We start from the raw sequence: 24,181 nt of genomic DNA, 5'->3' as shown, positions 1-24,181 counted from the left end.
AACCTAATACAATCCTGGCTTGTAAAACAGGGGAATTGTTTTAGATGTGATTATTGAAATTTTCATGAAACCAGGTGAATCCTGATCCAAATTCTGTATAAACTTATCTTTTTCTTAATCTGTTTTTGTCAAAGGCAATGGTCACTACAAATTAGCCCAACTTTTACTGAGAATGCACTTCTTCAACTTGGATTTAGCTTTAATTTTGAAAAACAGGAGAAAAAAAGAAATTAGAAATGGTGAAATCTACAGTCCAACTCATTTTATAGAAAAGCCAAATTATGAAATAATTGTATAAATGTTATGATTATGAGAGTAATGCTTTAATCATAAATACAGATTAAAAGATTCATCAATGATTTCCTTTCCAGAAAAAAAATACTTCTTTTCTAGCATTTAAGAGTGTGATAATATCATGTACATATTTTGAGGATCTGTATGATTTCAGAATATTCTCATTTTTTTTCTCTAAAATGGATAGATTTTCTTAAGTGTTCTTTTGGAGTAAAGAAGAACGTTGTTTAGTAGCTTTCTGTAGAGCCATTTGAAATCTATGGCCGGGCGGGCTGCAAGGCTCTGGAGGAGAAAGCTTTCCAAGTATGTATTCTGCTTAATTTCTCTTTAACTTACAAATGACAACCTAGGTTGCAGTCAGGTCTCCCCTCTGGAGTTGGCCTTAAACATAAGAGCATAAGAATCAGAAGAGTAGGTCATACTTATTGTCCTTATTCAGTCTAGCATTCTAAAACTGACTATCAAGAGATGTAATTCTGGAAGATACGTTTGACTGCATGAGCATCTCCTTTAAAGGTAAGGAAAATCCTAAATCTACTAATTGTCTTCTTCTCACATCATGAACTTGTCAAGTTGTGAGTTTATTTCAATTGCTTTTTCTCTTCATGTTTAAACTCTATAACAACTAGTCCACCTTGCACTATGAAGTTCTATCCCAAATAATTATCTTAAAACTTTCCTCACTAATGACTGAAGAGATTTCCTCCTTGTTCTAGTATTCCAGAATGTGATGAGCTGGCCATACGTCTCCCTAGTTTCTGCTTTTACAATTCTAATAACATCAAAAATACCCTCACTCTGTCTTTACCTTTGCAACTAAATTTCAAAACTTTTACATTTGTCTTCATGGATACCCCCCTCCACACCTCTGATCATTTTACTTGTCCTTTGCTGGACTTTTTCCAGGTCAATTATGCTTTATCCATTACAAACTGATCTATTAGATCTTTGTTAGTTAACAGAAAAAGGAGGGAAAGCTGGCAGGAGGATGATTTGAGCCCAGGAGTTCAAGACCAGCCTGGGCAACATAGTAAGACCTCCATCGCTACAGAATTTTTTTTTTTTTTAATTAGCCAGGCAAAGTGGCATATGCTTGTATTCCTAGCTACCAAGGAAGCTGAGGCAGGCGGATAACTTGAGCCCAGAAATTTGAGGGTGCAGTGAGCCGTGGTCACACCACTGCACTCGAGAGCCTGACCCTGTCTGAAAAAGAAAGAAGGAAGGAGGGAGGAAGGAAGGAAGGGAGGGAGGGAAGGAGGGAAGGAAGGAAGGAAGGAAGGAAGGAAGGAAGGAAGGAAGGAAGGAAGGAAGGAAAAGAGAGAGAGGGAAAGAGCGTGACAGAGAAAGAAAGAAAGGAAGAAAGAGAAAGGAAGGAAGGAAGGAAAAGGAGAAAAATGAGGGAGAGCTTGGAAGTAAATAGGCCCATGGTTAATTTGGATCAGTCAGTATTATATCTACTAAGCTTTACAAGTTTGGCATTGTTTGAGTATTCTGGTATGTTTTAAATTCTCTTTTAGTTGAATGACATTTTCACATTATTTCACACTAGCATTTCCACAGTTAGGTACCTCATGCTTTACCACCTGGTAATAACTTGTAAGTTGTTGATGTTGAGAATAACATTTGATAAAAGCTCAATGATTGCTTTTGGTGTTCTTCCAGTTAATATGAATGTGTTTTTCAGATTTCTCTTGTGAAATTTTTTAGGCATACTTTAACCAAAAATTTTTCACAGTCATATCATGGTATTGTTCATGTCCACATAAAATGTGAATGTAGACTTTGTTTTTCTTTAAAAAATTATTTCTCAATAAGTTGACATTTCCCAATATGTCAATGGACTTTGTGACCTTGTGAGACTGCAAGATTATATTCATTCTATAATCCCATAATTTCAAACATCTAACATCTAATTCAGTGTATGTTCTAAGTATGACTGTTCTAAAATGATGATTAGGTTAGGAGATATTATTGTGGTCTGTTCCCAAACAGTCATCATATCTTATGCCATTGTTTTTGTTTGTTTGTTTGTTTAAATCATATGAGCCCACCATAACAATTGTGATGTGGGAAAAATTTATTTAGTTATTTATACTTGGTCATATTTTATGGAACATAATAGCTATATTTAAACCCATTCTTTAGGATGGATTGTACTATTTGCATTAGTTCACTAGCCTTTTCAACGCTCAATGATATGTTTTCATCATTTTTATTATAGTTGTTCATTCACAAAGCATGGTTTCATCCATGGTTTCCTTCCTTGAAGGATTTATTGGCCTAGGTAAGCTTGGAGTTTTCCCCAGATGCTCTCCACAACATTACTTAAAATATATTTAGAATAGAAGTGGTCTTAGAGCCCAATCTCTAAGGTAACCCATGGTTTATATTTTTTTCTTGCAAAGATGTGACCCTTCATATCCTACACATTTTATTACTTGTGCTTCCTTTTTCCCTTGGGAGGTGGATTTGGGGGAGTGCAGGGAATATGTCTTATTTTGTATTTTCCATAGTTCCTAACTAAGCACATCATAAATATTCATTGAATGGAATGTCAGTTTTCTATAATGGTAAAACAGTTTGCTCCTATTTCCAATCCTATGGTGATTTAATTAAAACATAATAGCTTTGGTGTAAAATTTCCTCCAAGACATTTTGGAAGCTTAAACCAGCCATATTCTCAGTGTCTGTTTTCCCACGTAAATATGTATCATCTCAAAGAAGTCTATTCAATTAGTCAGGCATGATTTATGCTTAGGAAAACCACATAACCTTTTCTCAAATAGATTACGTTAGTGAAAGCGTTCAGTGACTCTGCCCTTTATTTTATATACATGCAATTTTTACCAGCCAGTCTTTATTGATGCTGGGCACTGAGAGGCCTATCATGGGATGCCTCTCCTTAAAGCATGTACAAAATTGCAAGGCATTCAGAATGCATGTGCACCTGACTGCAAAGTGCAACCAGGCACACGTTCTCTCCTTTGAAAGGCATACGAAAGTCAGTTAAGCACAGTAGCCAAAGGGTTTCCACAAAAGATGTAAACAACCCAAATGTCCATCACCAGATGAGTGGATAAACAAATGGGGTATATACATGAAATGGAATATTATTCAGCCATAGAAAGGAATGAAATTCTGGCACATGCTACAGCACAGATGAACCCAGAAAACATTATGCTAAGTGAGATAAGTCAGACATGAAATGACAAATATTGTATGATTCCATTTACATGAAGTACCCACAATAGGCAAATTCATAGAGCTAAATAGTACATGAAAGGATACCAGGGGCTTATGGGAAGAGGAAATAGGGAGTTACTGCTTAATGGTTACAGAGTTTCTGTTTAGAGTGATGAAACTTTGGAAATAGTGGTGATGGTTGCACAACACTGTGAATATAATTAATGCCACTGAATTGTATATTTTAAAATAGTAAAAATGGAAAATAACATTCCACAAGTCTTATTGAATAATGATGTAATGTATCAAAAACCATCATTGTGCATTTTAAATGTGCAAATTGCACAATATATGAGTTACATCTCCATAAAGCTGTTTCAAAATAAAGTCAATTGGAGGTTGAAGAGTAGGAGCATAAGACACTTTAGTGCTCTTGCTATCCTTTCCTTAAAAGAATAGATGGGAATAATAATAATATTAAATGAAAATAAAAGTTGCTAACCTCACTATGAAAACCTACGGAGTCTGAGCACATTCTGGGAAATGTGTGGGAATCAATACCTGGATGGACTACCATAATGCCCGTTCAACATTTATGCATTTAAACACTTGCAAAATGAGTTTTCTATTGGAAAGACTTGTTAAATATATTCTATTTCACCCTCTATCTTGGCAGAGCTGGTTATATTTCCAGAATGCCTGTAGGTGTCTGTGATGGATCATTGCTGCCCTGTCCCCACACCCCTCATCTAGGAACTTTGCAAACTTCAAGGATTGCTTTGTGATCTGAAGGGCCCCCTGGTAGTCTGTGAGCTGCGTGGCTTTGCCAAGATTGCTAGCCTGCCAAGTCTTCGGCCTCCAAAAGACTAGCCAGGGCTTCCTCATCTGATGAAAGTACAGAAAAAGGCCATGTGCTTGGCAGACTTGGCCAATTCCCTCTGCTTCATAGAGAAAATAAATCTGTAAAGAAGTTCAAGGGAGAGCTACCATCTGGTCAGACTCCTGGCTTTCTCAATATGGCTCCCAACACCTACTGCCAAGTGTCAAGAGGGCTTCCTGTGCTGGACAGAGGCTGGCGTCGGTGTTCAGTGCCAATATGCTAAAGTCAGATGGGCCCCTGATGAGGTGGGGATCGTCAGACTGGTTTCAAACTGCAGTCTTGTCACCGCCACTGACACATTCACAGAATGGTCAACATTTCAGCAATAAAAGTTGGAGCAATTTCATAGCTGGCCCTGTCATTGCAGACTATCTGTTAATTTCTTGAACAATCTATAAGACATCCAACTAAAAACCTACCCAATAACTACAGCACTGTGCATCCTAGATGACTCAAAGGCAGTGCCATTGGAAAAAGCTGCAGAACTGTTTTTATAGTGCAGACACTTTATTTGCAGCTAATTTGGCCTGCTTCCTGCACACTCAGATCTTCAATTCTAAAAGCCAAGCCAGTTTTTCTTTTGTTCAGGGCTGTTCATGCTGCAAAAGTTCACATCTAGTAAGATACTTTTCTTTGAGAGAAAATGGTGATCTGAAACTTGTGCACTTATTGCATTATTAGATTAGCCGTGAAGATCTGCTTGGTTTAAACATTAATCATGTTTACTCATTGATGTTTCATCTTTAATATCTGAAATTAGTAGTAATAATAAATGTCAAAATATTGACCTATACTAATATTTCTTATTTTTATGAAGATTGGAAGTCACTGATAGGGTATGCAAAGTTTGAACCAAAAGGGTCAGTATCACTTTTTGGGACTCCACGAGAGAATTTAATATTCTTTATTATTGTCCTTTAGGTTTATAAGCAAAGCCAGTACATGAATATTTTTTGTCTCTAACTAAAGACTCTCTTCTGTAAGTTCCCCAGGGAAGCAAAACATCTGTATGCAGCTGTCCTTCAAACCAAATTCTTCAGCACCGCATGCCACAAACAAAGCCTCAAGATCAAACCCATCCGTGAGTGATTTCTTATAGCTGGGCTGTGCTGCTGTCCCTTCAAATTCAACATAGTCACCCTTCCTTGGCTTTCTCTCTCTCTGTCTTTTAACGTATGCCTAGCATTCTTCATCCCCCTTCCAAAGCTGGGAGTCCCTAAGACACTCCCTACTCCTTCCCCCTCTCCGTCTAGTTGGGCATCAGGTCTGGTTGGTCCTGTCATTGCTCCATCTTTCTCATGGTTACAGCCCTCCTTATTCTATCACATGGATGACCACAAAATTCTATTCCTTCCCATCATATTTTTGACCTATACATATTGTCATCCTGAGTGTTCCCAAAAGTTGCTTTTACTACATCGGCTATAAAATTTTAAAAGGAAAAGAAAGGAAAGGAAAGGAAAGGAAAGGAAAGGAAAGGAAAGGAAAGGAAAGGAAAGGAAAGGAAAGGAAAGAAGGGTAGGGGAGGGGAGGGGAGGGGAGGGGGGCGGGGAGAGGAGGGGAGGGGGGCAGGGAGGTGAGGGAGGAGAGGAGAGGAAAGGAAAGGAAAGGAAAGGAAAGGAAAGGAAAGGAAAGGAAAGGAAAGGAGAAAAAGGGAAGGAAGAGAGAAAGAGAGAATTCCCTATTGCCCTAGGTATCCCATAGAATAAAATGAAAATATACAGATGTGTTCTTCAAATCCATTATGCATGCAGCTCGTTACTTTGCTACCCATGATCTCCCTTGCCAAAAAGACCAAGAGGGCACCCTTTCCACTAAGTTGCTCCATTTCTCTGATTATCACCTTTCTGAAACAAACAAACAAACAAACAAACCTTTCTTGGCCATCCCAAACCACTGTCTTCATGCCTCTAAGACCTTGTAGATTTCACTGAAAGTATAGCTTTTTGGAATTTATGATACATTTGATTATTCTTTATTTTATTCTGATACTGTTTGCATTTGTTTTTACATGTCCTGCATCCCCAGCTAGATGTTGAATTGCCTGAGATGGTGTCTAGATCCTGGCATCCTCAATGGCTAATACACTGCGCTCTGTTTATTCATACCGATCAACATTTTCATTAGATCTGTGATGTACTTACTGGTTATTGTGCTAGGCCTGAGGATGCTGCAAGTGAATAAGACATTCTCTGCTCTCCTTGAAGTTATAGCTTATCGAGGAAGAAAGGTATGGATTGTTAAAGCTGCAGGATATGTAAGTAATGAAGTTTGCAGTGCTACACATGTGTATGTTACCATGTGACTGTCTTAGTCTATCCCTGCTGCTCTAACATAATAGTCGAGACTGGGTCATTTATAAACAACAGGAATTTATTGCTCACAGTTCTGGAAGCTGAGAAGTCCAAAATCAAGGTGCCTACAGCTTCAGTGTCTGGCAATGGCCTGTTCCTCATAAATGGTGCTGTCTAGGTATCCTCACCCGACAAGATACAAGAGCAAAAAGCTAGCTCCTATACTAGCTCCCCCAGTCCTTGTATGAGGCACTGATCCATTGTGAAGGTGGAAAACTCCCGACTTAATTGCTACCCAAAGGCCCCATCTCTTAACATCAACATAATGGGGATTACGCTTCAATGTGAATTTTGGAGGGGACACACATCCAAACCACAGCAGTGACCAAACCTGGTCAGGGCAGCCTAGGAAAGCTTTATGAAGAAATGATATTTAAACCGAGACCTGAAAGGCGAACAGTAAGAAGTTAATAACTGGTACTATTTCTCTAATTAAAAAAAATACAGAATGAATTGACTTTAAAGAGCGTGACAAAAGTTCAGTGGGGGATTTTAGAGGTTCAACCAATTTTTAGTTATGGCAGTTTCAATGCAAGTGAAGGACAATTAGTAAAAGAAATAGTATTTTATTTTATTTACAGCTTCTTTAAAATCTTCCTCAAGAAAAAAGTTAATTGTGTGTTTGTCTTTCTATGGTGTAGGGTTTTTTTTGTTTTTTTTTAATTCTCTATACTGAAATAAGCAGCTCCAATTCAGCAGCTAGATTTGGAGACAGAATTGGAATCCTGACTAGACCAAAAAACAAAAACAAAAACAAAAACAAGAATTAGTAATGGAAGCTGGAACTTAGAGCAGGAGGCTAAGCCAGGACCAGGGCTTAGAGAAATCAGAGTCAACAGACAAAGAGATAGGAGACTCCCATGGCTGAGCTCACGGTCAGGGCACATGAAACCAGGCTGGTCTGTGAAACAAATAACTGAATGATGGTTAAAAGATGAAATAAATGTTTCTTGGGGGCATATGCTTTAAACACCAGCTCTTATCCAAGTCTAACCATTTCTGCTGCTGCCATCACCTTTATTTTCACCCAACGTGTTTGTGAAGATGACGTGAATTAATCAACATTAAAGTTCTTTGAGAATGTAAGGACTCCAGAGATAAAAGGAACTTTTATCTGTCACCTTCCTTTGTTCACCACGATACAGGGGTCTATTTTCTTTCCAAAGTATATGAAAAAGCAATAATTAAGCATGGCCTCAACAGCAATGTGCACAAATAAACAATTTACTAAAATTATATGAAGATTCATAAAGATATAAATAAGGGGAAAAAAGATATTCACAGAATCTTTCATTATGGCTGAGAAGCCCATGACCATTGGAAGTAAAGTGCTTCTTGGTGCTTAGCAAAAATGTATAAAGGAATGAGGGGAAAGCCTTGGGGCAGACACTAATACAAGACCAGATGATGCGGTCTCCCCAGTAACCAGTTTGCCTCTTATTAAATGTCTGCAAATGATTACATTGACTTGAGGGAAACTCAAAGTGAATGACTGCAGACAGGCCACTGAGGACCTCCTCTCCCTGTATAGGTGATTTTAGATAGGTGGATACAGATATATCTGGAAAGTGAGGCTTCTAGGATACCCTGAAAAGCACACCAGGGAATGTTATTTCCTCCTATTTTCTGAGATGGTATATAAGGCAATGATTTATCAAAAGGAATTTAAGAATTGCAGAACACTATTTTCTTTTCCTTTTTTTTTATTTTTTGAGATGGAGTCTTGCTGTGTCACCCAGGCTGGAGTGCAGTGGTGTGATCTCAGCTCACTGCAACCTTCGCCTCCCGGGTTCAAGCAATTATCCTGCCTCAGCCTCCTGAGTAGCTGGGATAACAGGCACTCGCCACTCTACCCGGCTAATTTTTGTATTTTTGGTAGAGACAGGGTTTCACCGTGTTGGTCAGGCTGGTCTGGAACTCCTGAACTTGTGATCTGCCTGCCTCGGCCTTCCGAAGTGCTGAGATTACAGGCATAGGCCACCGTGCCCGGCCAGAACCCTGTTTTCAATGAGATATATATGGAACTCACATAAAAGCAAGTAAGATGAGACATGCCCTGATTAGAGCTGGTGATTACAGACAACAACCTGCTCTTTCTTCAGCTAGACTCCATGATGGTGTCACTGCTCCCGGAGTCCTCTCCTGGCAAACATAGAACTTCCCGGGGGCTTAAACCCAGGTCAGTCTGTATCTTTCTGGAAGCCAGAGCACACTGCAAAGTCTGGAGTTGCATTCCCATAGTCTATGGTAGATAAACTTAGCATGAAAAAAAAAAAAAAGCAGTATCTCAGAGGGGCAATATTAGAATAGTAGTCCTATCAGAACTGCGGATCAGAAGAGGCCAACAGGATTGAGCTTAGCAGACAGTGAACACTGGAAGATGGGCCTGCTATAACTTCAATTACCAGAAAGTAGGTTTTTGAACCTGGACCAAATTGAATTATAATATACTGAGATTTTCCATGATAATTGAATTTCCATGCTTTCTTGTTAGGCATCTGAAATAGCTTTATTTTATATTTTGTTTTTTTTTTTATTTGTACCTGTCATAATATCCCCAGATATAAGGATGTGTATTCAGAGCTTAATATAAAGACATAAAATATATCAGAATTCAAAATTAGATATTATAGTAAGATTTAGCCAGTAACTAGTAGGAATCTAACATAGAAAAAGAAGAGAGAAAACTTTCATGTGTTAGGAATTTATTCTTAATGAAGAGCATTTTCTGTCTACTTGAATAAAGTAGTATAAATCAGATGATCACAAGTTATGAATGCTGATATTTGAAACATGCAAGTGTAAACTTAGACCACTAAAGTAGGTGCTATCTTTTCATTAAGCAAAACAAAACGTAATCACAGCTGAGTGTTTCAATATGGAAAAAAAAATGACTAAGGTTCATTTTAGTCTCGTCATTTTAATTCGTTTGGAAATAGGACCCAAAGTGACAATGTTTTATTCACTAATTTTTTTCTATCTACTCTATATGGCAGACTCTCATGACTTTCTCCATGTAAAGTAGAATTTTAGGGCAAAAAAAGAGAGTGTACTCCTTTATTCTCATTGCTTTGGTATTTGTCACAAGGTCAGGTCCAGCACTGGGTTTGGTGTATGGGATGTTGCATTCTCCTCTCTCCACCCCGTTTCTCTCTCCAACAGAAGGTGGGTGTAGTTTAAGCACTATTATAGGTCTTTTTTTTTTTTTTTTTTGACAGAGTCTTGCTCTGTTGCCCAGGCTGGAGTGCAGTGGTGCAATCTCGGGCTCACTGCAACCTCCACCTCCCAGGCTCAAGTGATCCTCCTGCCTCAGCCTCCCAAGTAGCTGAGATTACAGGTGTGTGCCACCACACCCGGCTAATTTCTGTAATTTTAGTAGAGATGGGTTTTCACCACGGTGGCCAGGTTGGTCTTGAACTCCTGACCTCAAGTGATCCACCTGCCTTGGTTTCCCAAAGTTCTGCGACTACAGGCCTGAGCCACCATGCCCAGCCTGTTATAGGTACTTTTATCTTAATTGGTTTATGACCCCCAAAGTCCTGCTGTAAAAACCCCAAGCCTCTGGGGAATCCTTGGAGACCCAGTCTGACCACATTGGAAACATTGAAACCTGGCTTACCTGCTCTCTCGAGAGCTTTTCAGTTTAGCAAATTAGCTTCCCCTTCCAAATAAGGGGAAGCTAATTTCTCCACTCCAAAATAAACATATTTTATTTCTCCACTCCAAAATAAACATACATGGATAGACACGAGCCTAACCCATGAAAACTGACCTGGTACCACGACCAGTTACACCATAGTCTGAAGCAGAGTACACCCTACCCTAAATCAGCAGAACCATAGTCAACTTGCAGACTTAGCCTGGGAATCAAAGTGCAGGGCTATATACCACTTTCTTTGTGGGTAGTTGACTACCCAGCATTATTGTGGCAATAACTGATCAATGTAGTACTTTAACCCATCCTGCTCCATTTCTTCCTTCAAAGCAGGTCTGAACGAGGTAGTTTTCAATCAAAAAGTACTTTGGTTCAAACAAGCAGAAAGAAATGGTTGCAGTTACATCACCGAGAAGCACTTCTATCATCCTGATGGTTGTACTGGTTGTACTTAAAGCTAAAAAGGAATTCATCACAGGCCCTTCAGGCGTTTTTCTCACAAAACACAGGCTCAAGATTTTCACAGAAAATCAATAGATGAAGTAACTGACTAAAGCCATACTTAGGATAAGATGCAAATCTAGCTCTTTACAGTGATCACAGTTTGGCTATTTTGTGTCCCTTTAGAGGGAGTGATCAATCCCATGTTCTGGCAGGATTTTCATCCTGACTGTGTTCTGCCTGGGTCATTATTCTTTCTGTTCAATTCACAGAAAACAGAGATTTCATTGCTACACAGAGGCGTTTCACTGTTGCAGTGAGAAATTACAATGTATTACGGATTAAAAGGAAGCAAAAAGAAAGGAAGAAATCCTAGGATTGTCACCTATTGCCATTGTTTACTAGGTTTCTTGCTTTGGGCTGGACACTCAGTGTTTTCTTTGTGCTGGCATGTATAGTACAAGGGTGGCATCTGCTCCACCTCCATCTACAGTGCTGGTGTGAGAATGCCATGCGATAATGCTATCAAGATGCAAAGAGCTATACATCTGTTAGTCTGGGAAACAGATGGGAGGAAGCAATGCATCATAACATTGAAGAGCCTGGCTTTGAAGTCACACAGACCTGGGTTCCAATTCCAACTCTGTCATTTACTAGATTTGTGATCTTGAATAAGTATTTTTTTTTCCCACCCTGAGCTACAGATATTCCTAGAAAAGTTGGGTAATAGTGCCCATCTTAGAGTCACGTGTACTACATGAGATCAGGAATGTAAGGCATTCAGCACAGTGTCTGGCACAGAGTAAGGGCTCCAGAATATGGTAGGTGGTTTTGTTCTTCTGCGTTGCTTTTTAACACTCGTCGATCAATGCAGTGGTGAAGGAAACCCTCTGCCTTCACACTGTCCTTTGTACCAAGGAGAATGTCTAGAAATTGGCTGGTATCTTTGGCCCTTGGTCACAGAGTTGCCGAACACTCATTATCTTCTTTTCTTCCCTTCTGCTGTTGATGTCCAATGCTGCTTTGTAATAGTAAAAACTCCAGACAAGAGTTTTTGCCATTACCTTTCTTCTGTGTCTCCTCCACGGGCTAGTATCTCCAGTGGCTCATTCTGCATGACAATATCTGGATTACACTGAGTCCGGGAAGATCATCCTTGCCTCTTCACTAATAACTGTCCCAAATCTAACCCTATATCATTTCTTATCTTCGCAGGTGGCAGCTAGGATGTGCTAGGATGTAGCTATCACTGGTTCATATGAGGGAAAACAAATCACTAGTGATGTGCTCTGTTTTCAAAAGTAAGATTAAAAAGCATATTATTATTATTATTTTGTTTCTTTGTTTTTTTGAGACAGAGTCTCACTCTGTCCCCCAGGCTGCAGTGTAGTGGTGCAATCTCAGCTCACTGCAACCTCTACCTCCTGGGTTCAAACGATTCTCCTGCCTCAGCTTCCCAGGTAGCAGGGATTACAGGTGTGTGTCACCATGCCCAGCTAATTTTTTATTTTTAGTAGAGGCAGGGTTTCACCATGTTGACCAGGCTGGTCTCAAACTCCTGACCTCAAGTGATCCGCCCAGCTTGGCCTTCCAAAGTGCTAGGATTACAGGTGTGAGCCACCAACACCCGACCAAAAAACACATTATTGATTGGTATATGAAAATAAAGCTCATACTCCACAAATATGGGAAATCAGGGGCCATAATATTTTCTTTTCTCTATCAGTAGAAAACATGTCATGGATAGCTAGAGAATTAAAAAATTCACTTATAAATTCTAGCCACTTATGAGCTAATGTGCTCATTTTATACAGGAGTGGGCATCCCGTTAGATGTTACAGGAAGTAAAATTTAATTAAAACATTTAAAAATATTTAGTTTCACCTCAATTAATTATTATTCCATTCCTATGATAGAAAATTTAGAACAATAAAGAGATGCTGGAAGAACAATCTAAAGTCAAACATTGTCCTCCCACCTACAGATGATGATTATGTACACTGATGTATTTTCTTCAGTCATTTTTCTCTGTTATGTTTTAATTTATAAAAATTGTATATATTTATGGTGCATGACATATTGTAATATATATACAAACTGTGGAATGGCTAAATCAAGTTAATTAACATATGCATGACCTCACACGTTTACAATTTTTTTGTGGTGAGAACACTTAAAATCTACCATTTTTAGTACTTTTCAAATATACAGTATGTTGTTTTTAACTGTAGTCACCATGTTGTACAACAGACCTCTTGACATATTTCTCCTAATTGAAATTTTTGCATCCTTGTTTTTTTTTTCTTTTTTCTTTTTTTTTTTTTTTTGAGACAGTGTCTCACTCTGTCTCCCAGGCTGGAGTGCAGTGGTGCCATCTCCGCTCACTGCAAGCTCCGCCTCCCGGGTTCACGCCGTTCTCCTGCCTCAGCCTCTCGAGTAGCTGGGACTACAGTCGCCCGCCACCACGCCCAGCGAATTTTTTGTACTTTTAGTAGAGACGGGGTTTCACTGTGTTAGCCAGGATGGTCTTGATCTCCTGACCTCGTGATCCGCCCGCCTCGGCCTCCCAAAGTGCTGGGATTACAGGCATGTGCCACCGCGCCCAGCCGAAATTTTCTATCATTTCACCAACATTTCCCAGATCTCCCCACTCCTCTGACCCCAGGCCCTGGTAACCACCACTTTCTTCTCTGCTTCTATGAATTCAACTACTTTATATTCTACATATAAGTGAGATCATGTGGTTATTTGTCATTCTGTGCCTAGCTTATCTCATTTAACATAATGTCCTCCACGTTAATTCATGTCGTTGCAAATGGCAGGACTTCCTCCTTTTTTATGGCTGAATAGTATTACACTGTGTATCTAATTTTATTTTCTTCATTCATTTGCTGATGGACACTTAAGTGGGTTCCATATGTTGGCTATGTTGAATAGAGTTGCAAAAAACATGAGAGTGCAAGCCAGACACAGTGGCTCACATCTGTAATCCTAGTGACTTCGGAGGCTGAGGTAGGAGGATTGCTTGAGGCCAGGAATTCAAGATTGATCAGCCTGGGAAACACAGCAAGACTTCATCTCTAAAAACAAAACAAACAACAACAACAACAACAACAAACTAGGCATGTTTGCTTGCATCAGTAGTCCCAGCTACTACAGAGGCTAAGCTGGGAGGATCGCTTGAGCACAGGAGTTGGAGGCTTCAGTGAGCTATGACTGCACTACTGCACTTCAGCCTGGATGACAGAGTGGGATCTCAACTCTTAAAAAACATAATGGGAGTTTAGATATCTCTTTGACATACTGATTTCATTTCCTCTGGATATATACCCAATAGTATGATTGCTAGATCATATGGCAGTTTTATTTTTGTTTTTCTTTTTGAGGAAGCTCCACACTGTTTTTCCATAATGGTTGTACTAATTTCCAGTTGTTTTTCTGTGCACAGTTTTGACTAGATCATTTCCAAGTGTGTTTTTGTCCTTTTCTGCTGAAGGCTGGCTTATAGTAAAGACATGCGAATGTCACAAAGCTAGACAGCTTCCAGAGTCAAACTGAGCACTTAGCATCTTTGGTTTTACAATTTTCCAAGCCTGTGAAAACTGAGCTCATTTTCCAAGGCATCTAGAAGGGTTGCTTAAAGCGCAATGCCGACAAACACTCACTGTCTTAAAAACGTGCCTCTAAACCTCAACTATTTAGCTAAAAAGTTAAGAGACAAGTTTCAGCAAATTGACTTGTATAGTGTTATTCTCAGTTCTGCTAAAAAGAGAATAATAAATTGCAATTGACAATAGTACAGACACCTTATTTAGATTTGTTTTTCTTAGTGTCTTCCATTGGGATTTACAAGATCCACATGAGCTCTGAAAATGCTACAATTTCCTATCTATGAAGCCGCACATGGAAAAATAACAAATACAATGAAAAACAGCAATCTAGTTGACAGATTAATATATATTAATCCCATCGCCATGGTTAAGAGATGGAAAATTATTATTGAATAAGACTCTTTCATCAAACCAAATATTTCCTAATGCTCCAAAGTATATAGCTGGCATTGCTTCTGCCTTACACATCTGCTTCTCTCTTTGAACTCTGATATTAATCTGAAGGTTGCATGCAGCTGCACAGTTCTAAGATAATTAGTTCTTTCCATTATATATTATGACTGATAGGGCAGACCTCAGAAAACATTCAGAGCTTGGATTTGCATAAACTCCAGGCAGTTAGACGACTTTTCCAAAATTCAAATCAATCTCCTGGAAAAACGTGTATAATTTCCAGATCCTTCCTGGAATCTTTTATTTTTCATCTCTCTTAGAATCTTTTCTCTTTTGCTCATCTCTCTGCATTTTTATATTTATTTGCTGTTAACCTCTTTGGGATATTTCAGAGAAAACCAACCAGAAGTAGGTGACCCGAGCCCTACTTCCACAAAGCATTGAGCTAGTTTTTATACAGTGCTAAACATGGAGGATTTTGACATTTCCTCCAGAACTTCCAGATTTTGCAAACATCCGTAGAAGAGTGGTTTTACAGTTATCTCCCCACAAGAGATGAAACCAATCATCCTTAGAGACACTGACAATGCTTCATGTCATGTATCAGTATTTCCTTCCACAGTAGGGCAGTCATCCATAGAGTGGGTTTTAGGGCCTCTCAAAGAAAAAAGACTCGATTTTTGTCCTTGCTTTAGGTCAAATGCTTTGTGTCCCTTGAAGGAGAGAGGAGACCAAGAAGGAAGTGAGATGGAATCCTGACATCAGCGTGTCCAGAAGCTGGACTTGAGGTGAATAAAACATTCTAGAATGGAAGAGTATTTTAAGCAAATTGCAGTGTTCCCTTCCAATAAATACAAGCCAACTTGAACTGATCCAGCAATACCACCCAGGCAGCCATCATTTCCAAAACTCAGTTTCATGAACATGGTTTCAAAAGGAAATTTCTACTTCTCTGCAGTACTCTTATTTGATTTATACCTAGTGAAAACATATATCATATCTTGGTTGTTCATCCTCCAGAAAGACAGTCTTTCTCCTTTGAAATAAACAAATGAAATGGCAAAATGGCTGACCGTGGTGCGCAGGGATGATTCTCGGGTATGCTGATGGTTTGGAGTTCCTTTTTCTGTTTTCTGCGTATCATCCTTATTAGAAATTCAGTAGATTCTGCTCAGACAATAACTATCATAGCTCTCAAGCTTTCTGGTTCTTTATATACATAATTTTTTATATGGAAAGTCACAGTATCTAAATATTTCTTTGCTTTTACAAAACCATATTTCATAATCTGGCCAAAACCCTGCCAGTAGCCTTAACCCAGCAGGAAAGTATGTTGTTTTCATTTGTTATTCTATGTGCTTCATTTCGTTAAGTTGGCAGGAGGCCTGAGGGGAAGTGCACACATGTTATGAGATGGCTGGGTTTTTCTTTTGTTTGTTTGTTTTGTTTTTTTTCTTGAGACAGAGTCTCCCTCTGTCACCCAGGCTGGAGTGCAGTGGTGCGATCTTGGCTCACTGCAATCTCTGCCTTCCGGGTTCAAACAATTCTCCTTCCTCAGCCTCCTGAGTAGGTGGAATTACAAGCACCCAACCACCACACTCGGCTAATTTTTGTGTTTTTTTAGTAGAGATGGGGTTTTGCCATGTTCGCCAGGCTGGTCTTGAACTCCTGACCTCAAATGATGCTCCCAAAGTGCTGAGATTACAGGCGTGAGCTACTGCACCCAGCCAGACCACTGTTTCTTAACTAGTTCTCTTCTTCGACTTCCATGACACCACACTGGTCTGGTTTTCTTCCTGCCTTTCTGGATACTCTTTCTTTGTCTACACTGCTGGATGCTCCCCTATCTGACACTTCTGTGTTAAAATTTCTCAGGCATTAGTCTTAAGTCTTCTTTTCTTCTTACTCTAGACTTTTTTGGGGGTTAAGAGTATTCATTTTCATAGCTCCCAGATTTATTCCTCAAGCCGAGATCTCTTTTTCGGGGGATCTGGAATCACATCTAAATGCCTATTAAAAATTTTAACTTGTCTGTCTCTAATTCAATGTGCTGAATTGAGCTCTGATCTTCAAACCTGCTCCCACTTCTTACTTCCCCATCTGTGAGAAGTAATTTTTTTGACACTAGTTTCATTCCCTGCCCTTAAATCTGGACAAGCTTGTTCAGAGTGATGCTGCTCAGCTTCTGGGCCCAGCTTTTAAGAGGCTGGCACCTCCCACGTGCTATCTCTTGGAGTGCTTGAAATATATTATATCTAGAACCAGAATTTGTTACCTAGATGTAAGATGATGCCATAACCAAATATCTAAACATAGTGTCAGCTCTGGGACCAGGTGGCAGGTGGAAGCTGAAAGTGATTGTTGATTAAGATTTGAAGTTGAAAGACAGCAAGGGAAATGCTGCAGAAAAAATGACCTGTATTAGGCAGTGGTGAAAAGTGTAGCAAAACCGTCACCTGTAGAATATAGTAGAGAAAATGTCTAATAAGCTCACGGATCTGCCTAAGGAGATTTCCAGGTAAAATGTCAAAAGGGCCATCTGGTTTCTTTTAGCTGCATGTGATAAAATATAAGAAGAGAGAGATAAACTTAAATAAAAACCGGTTAAGCTTTCAACCTAAGTTTAGAGGAAATACAAAGAATACAGGACTTGCTGTGTTCAAAAATAAACTTTCTCACTGTCATTTTTACCCAGGAAAAAAATGTTCAAAGTGAAAAATGGCTCTAGGGCAAAGACCAAATCCAGGCCTCTATCAGTAAACCATGGACTCAGGGCAAAGATTTCAAGAGTATAGCTTTAAGATTTTTTGTTAAGACTTCAGAAAAATTTAAGGTTGTACCTAGTAGGACTTCTGAGAATCAAAAGGCCTGTGATTAAGAATCATAGATACTTTAGTTTAAATAACAGGGCTTTTAGGTGTTAAGAGCAATATTCCACAGCAATGTCACCAGCCACCCAAGGCACACAAGGTCTGTCTTGGAAAGAAATGTGGATGTGACTTCTATTTAATGAAATTTACTATAAATTGGTAAATAAGAAACCCACAAATGTTTTAAAGAAATTGTGTCAGTTAGGAATGAAATGGAAAGATAGTACAAAGTAAAAAGAGATAATTAGAACTCCCAAATGTCTGTAGGAAGGAAGCAGGCTGAGAAAAGTACTTAGCTGTAAGACAGATGATTTCTTATGGAAGATGAAGTATGACTTGGTGGCTAGGACTACAAACCTAGAGGACAGAGCCAATAGCTCTGCAGGATAATTTCCATAGAGTAGGAATTGCCCTCATCAAGAAACTGCAATGTGCGCTGTTGTGAACTGTAAACATGCAAAGGACCAGCGACTGCTGCGTGGCCGTGTTGCGGCCCTTTTGAATGGGACTATTACAGTTAGGCTAAGCCTAGTCCACTATTGTATGTTGAGTTTGTGGGGAACACGCTGGTCTTCAGACAGACAGTAACTACACCTAACGAGCCTCATCTACACCTGAACGTGATTTCAATGATAATGAGATCTTGGACTCTGAGTTGACGCCATAATGGCATTAGATTTAGGGGAGCCTTAGGAAAGGATAAGAGTATTCTTCACATGGAAGGAGAGTAAATCATTTGCAGCCAGACAAACAAATGACACATATGGATGTAGAAATGGATGGTTATATCTGTTTATAATAATAAATGATATCCACAAATTCTTTGACAATTCTCCCACTGCATCTGAGTAGGCTTGATAATTAGAATATGGCAGAAATAATCTTGTAGCAATTTTTAGGTCCAGGTTTTAAGATTGGAAGCTTCCACTTCCTGTTTCTCAGAATAGTATGTTTTGCAAACTGTCATTTTATAAGGAAGGTCAGGCCACATGGGAAGGCCCACATGTGAAGAAACTGAGGTCACCGGTCAAGAAGCCTGGGTTCCATCTGACAGCCAGAACCACCTTGCCAGCCGTGTAAGGAAATCTTCTTGGAAAAAGATAGAGGTGACCCAATTTATGTCACATGGGGTTGAAATGAACCACCCCCGTTTAGCCTTCAAACCCAAATTGCAAATTTGTAGGCAAAATAAGTGATTGTTGTCTTAAGTCACTAAATGTGAAGATGCTTTGTTATGGAGCAGTAGACTACCAAAACAACATCACAGTAATTGATACCATAATAAACCATTACTCAAGACAATGGATGGAGTTCTTGACATCTTCCTCTTCCTTACTGCCTAAATTTATTTTGTTGCTTCAGTGCTTCACAGTTTTCCCTAGACTGCATCCACCAACTTTTAATGGTGTATTCTCTTAGTAAGAGGAACCCAGCTTATATTCAGCTAGCCAGTAACCCAAATAAATGTCCTTATTCATATTCACTTATGTCTTATGAGAATTATTTGCAATATATATACCAAGAGTAAAATAACTGGGTTGTCAGGTATATAGATATTTAAGCAAAGTAGATATTAACAAATTGTCTTCTGGAATTGTTTCATTAGTTAAGGCTCCCAATGGCGATATATAAGCATTCTTTTTCTCAGTATCTTTACCAATACGTGTTACTATTCATCATTCTAATTTTGCCAACAATATGGACATAAAATGATATACGGATGTTTTAACTGTTTATTTTTCTTATTATAATGCATTCTTGTTAACTATTCAGATTTCCTCTCTGATTTATGCTGATTCATATGTTTTCAAGAAGCATTTTCTTCTCCTAAAATTTCCATATTTTTCTTATTAATTGTTAGGAGTTCCATGTAAATTCTAGGTATTCATCTGGCTTTGGTTTTGTGAATGGAAAATAATGGTCAGTTGTCTTCTAATTTTATATATCCATTCTTTTGGTAAATAGAAATCCTTAATATGATACAGGTAAATTCATCAATATTTTGCCACCTGATGCTATGAAAACCTTTTGACTTTTCACGTTAAGAAGATCTTCTCCACTTTTAGTTTACAAGAACTTCTCTGTTTCCTCATATTAGACTTATGGCTTCAATTCTCATGTTAAGAAGTTTAAACTCTCTGGAGTATCCATTAACTTTGTTATAGTGAAAAAAAGGACCCAGCTTTTTATTTTTCTTTTTTTTTTTTTCCTCTAAAAAATGCCAGTTCTCCCAGCACTGCATATTAAACAGTAGAATCTTTCCTCATTTTATTTTAAAGCAATCTATCCATATTTCATAAGCATTTTAATTCTCTATCCTGTTCTTCTGGTATATTAGAAGTTTCTTTCCCAGCACCATTGAGTATTTATTATGTCCTTGTATTATCTATTCATATTTGCTGGAGCAAGTACCTTTCCTTTGATATTCTTTTCCAAATTTGACTTAACTACCAGAGGGTCCAGTTTTGGGATTTTTTGTTAATCTATTTTATTTGGTCCTCCATAAGCATTTTAATCTCTAATTCTGGGAATGTCTGAATGTTTTTCCTAAAAATATTTTCCTTTTCTATTATTTGTCTTTATTATACGGACATTTCTATTTCTCTTTGCTACTTCTCTTAACTTTCTATTTTTCTCCTGTTTATGGCTTCCTGAAGACTTCTGCTCACTAATTCTCTCTTCTGCTCTAATTCTTTTGCCATTTATTCCCTTTGCTGGGTTTCTTGTTTCAACTCTTGTATTTTCACATCAATAATTTTCCTTGATTTAAAAAAAATAGATGTTTGATCTTGCATTATGTGATTAGAATCTGCCCTTATTTCTTGGAGGATACTTATTTATCATGCTTATTTTAAATGTTTCCGTGCTATAGTGATGCTTCTCCACCTGGTATAGGTTGTATGATTTTGTTGTCTCTCTCTGATGTAATTTGTAGGTCTCAGATAGATTTTAGAGATAGATCTTAGGTAGGTGATCTTAGCTAGGTCATTGTTTTTCTCTGAGGTCACATTCCTTAGAGGTGCCCTAGCAGCTTCTTTGGGGAGAGGGACCATAATCCAGGTCTTAACATTTTCCCCGCCTGGAGCAGAAAGGAGGGTATTCTATGCCAGGGTGAAGAGCTCCCTCACCTGTAGGAATATCCTCTCTATGAACCCTTGCCTTCATGGAAACACCCTTTCCCTCCACGCTGTTTGAGTTGAGTAGAAGAAATTTCCATGGCTGTCCAGTTTGCTGCATCTGTTGATAAATGCTGCTCCATGCAGCAGGGTTTAACAGTTGTAGCTGCCACTGCTTTTTTTTATGCCTTGCTAGGATGACAGAGTAGGTAACAATGCATGCAGGCAGTTTTGAGCCAAAGAAGAGAATACAACCTGAAATCTCTTCTACAACCTATCCCTTGACCACGTTACACTCTTCTCTCTTTCCCTGGAATTCCATTTCTTTTCCATGCCACGTAACTGCATCCTGATGCCCTGATGATTTTGAATAATTTTAAAATTATTTTTCAGGTACACACACATGCTCCTCACTTTCATGACACCTGTAGGGATGGGAGGAGACTGGGATGTTGTAGGCCTTGTTGGTTTGCTCTCAAGAATAAGCAGCTTATTTATTTACTATGGATTTCTAAAAATTATTCTTATATTACAAACACTAATTCTTTTTAACATATGCAAATATTTTTCATTAGCCTGCGTCTTTTATGTTTGTCTTTTATTATACCAGCATTTTAGATTTTGATGTAGTCAAATGTGTCCATCAAATGATATAATCAAATGCATCATTTACTTTTATGAATCAAATATTTTGAGCCTTGTCTAATAAATCCTTTTTAAGGTCTCTTTATTTTCTTATAATTTTCTGAAAGTTTTGTTTTCCATATTGAGATCTACCACCCATGTAGAATTTACTTTTTTTTTTTTTTTTTTTTGCATGGTAGGAGGAAAAACTACTATGGTTTTTCATCTGGAAAATCAGTGGTATAAACACCTCTTGTTTGTGAGTCCACCCTTTCCCCACTGATTTCTAATACTACTTGAATCATATTCTCATACCTCTAACTAATTCTCACATATAGCTTGTACTGTCTGGGAAGCTAATATGTTTTATTGATCTAACATCTATGTATCCCTTTGCCAAAACCACATCTTAAAAATTACTACAGCTTTGTAAGTTTTGACATTTGGTCGAATAAAAAAAATCCATCATTATTGCTCTGTTGTTCCTGGCTCTTTATTCTGTAACTTGAATTTTAAAATCAATTTGCTCCTTTATCCAAGTAGTATTTGAATTAGACTTGCATCGGATCCAAGATCAATCTGTAGGAATCATGAACACTCCTTGGCACCATCACAACTCATCACAAAATATTGTAGGAAGATAATATTTACGAGGGAAACAAGACTAGATACCTAGAAATAACCTAGCAAAATGTGTACAAGACTTTGAGAAAAACACAAAAACCGCCTGCACAAATGTTGAGATGTAGTACATTCATAAATGAGAAGACTCAATATACCAAAGATTCCAGTTCTGCTGAAATTAATCAATGACTCCAGCTCAGTCCTATTAAGTTTGAACAAATGAAAATATTCCTTAACTGTCTGGTTGTCCAAAATATGATGAAATTATTTTTTACCTCGTCTCAGTGCAATGCCAGGAATTTAGCATGTTGTGCTCCTTTATCTTCTCTTCCTTCCTCTTTCCTAACCTCATCAACATCTTCACACCTTTAAGAAATGTTTTTTCTATGATTTATTACAAAACAACTCTCTCATTTTGATTCTCTGTTATTCTAAATATTCCCTCTCTGAACTTCTTGGTTTCTATTCCTTGCATGTTACGTTTTCTGTCCTTGTTTCTCTTCTACCTGTATTATGTATACTTCCGTGGTTCCACGATCTTTTCTGTGAGGATGACTCCCAAATCTGCCTTCATTTCAGGTTGTCCCCTTGAATTACAGGCTCACATGTCTACTTGCTGATAAGGCATGTTCATTTCTATATCCACCAGTGACTTAAAATATAGTACCTCCCAAATGAAATTAATTTCTTTGCTTGAGAATTGGTTTCGCTTCTGTCTTCAATAAATGCAACTGCTGCCTATAAATACTTTCAGACCAAAGGGGGGTGTCAGACACCAGCAACATAATATAGCTAAATAAAAAAGTTGCTTTGCCCACGAGGGTTTTTCTCACTATAAGTTTTATTTGCACTTTTTCACAACTTCATGTCAAGCAATGCTCACATTATTCTCATTTGTCTTTGTGACTTTAAGCCCAGGAAAGTGGTGTTCTTAGTAAGTACACGGGGCATACAGGTTCTTAATAAGTTCACAGGTGTACATGTATGACATTGTGTTGGAAACGAACTAACAAACACGTCATGATGTTATAGATTAGCTGAAGTCTGTTGGAAACAAAAAAATGTAGACTATGGAGTCAACAAATATTACAGTATAAAGCTATTGTCCAAGTATCAGAAAACTTATAGTTATGCATGTTTGAAAAACAAAATTAAGGAAATGCATCTATGTAAATACCAAATGCTTCTCGTCTGTTTTCAATTTTGGCAATTCACCTGGATTTTTTTTTTTGTTACAATTTCATATAAGGTGGATAGCTGTCAGCAAATGACATTACTAATTGTCCTTCCATTCCTTTCTTCTGTTTATGTCCACTCTTCCCATTGCAGTCTCAAAGCTTATGATCACCTAACAGAAAGGTGGGCTGTGGACACTTCATCTGGCATACTTGCAAGTCTTTGCTTGAACCATATGCCTGCCTTGGAGACAGAGCAATTAAGAAATAGATGAAACTGATATCCCTGCTTAGAAGCAAAATAAGTAGAGAAAGCTAATTGCACAAACAACAACGAAGACTGAAAATTAAGACAAACTTTCTTTTCTCCTTTTACAGCTTGCCTCAGAAATCTTTCCTTTGCAATTATTTCTATTCTTTCAATTCTCAACATGAAATATCATCCAGGCCCATGCTCAACCACCAGCCTTATTTTCTATTAGTTGCCAACAGGAAACTTGGCTGACTGTGTGATCTGTCCAACTGGAGATAGTAAACCAGAAAACTTTAGAAGTGTGTTTTATAATAGAGAGAATCAGATTCAACCATATAACAGGTGCATAACTTTGGGCAAATAACTCCCTGAACTTTAGCTTCCTCATTTATGAAATAAACAATATTGCATTTGCAGAGAATGTGGTAACCACTAAATAAGCTCATGCACCTCAAATGCTGAACACACTGGAGTATAAGCACTGCAAATGCAGTAGCTTAATAAGAAAGGCCAAGCCCAGCAGGAACAGACCAATCTGCCTATTAAAAGTAGCTATATTTCCAAATTTGCACACTCCATCTGAGCCCCGAGTCATCCTTCCATCACCCAGTGCTCTTCTGTACCATGATGGGCTTAGTTCATGCTGTCCCTTTGTCTCCACCACACTATTGGTTTTCCTGGTTCACCATCAGTCTCTGATCTCCTGAC

The sequence above is a fragment of the Homo sapiens genome, chromosome 10 (assembly GCF_000001405.40).
Source record: "Homo sapiens chromosome 10, GRCh38.p14 Primary Assembly".
Classification (NCBI taxonomy): domain Eukaryota; kingdom Metazoa; phylum Chordata; class Mammalia; order Primates; family Hominidae; genus Homo; species Homo sapiens.
This window is presented reverse-complemented; position numbering follows the sequence as displayed.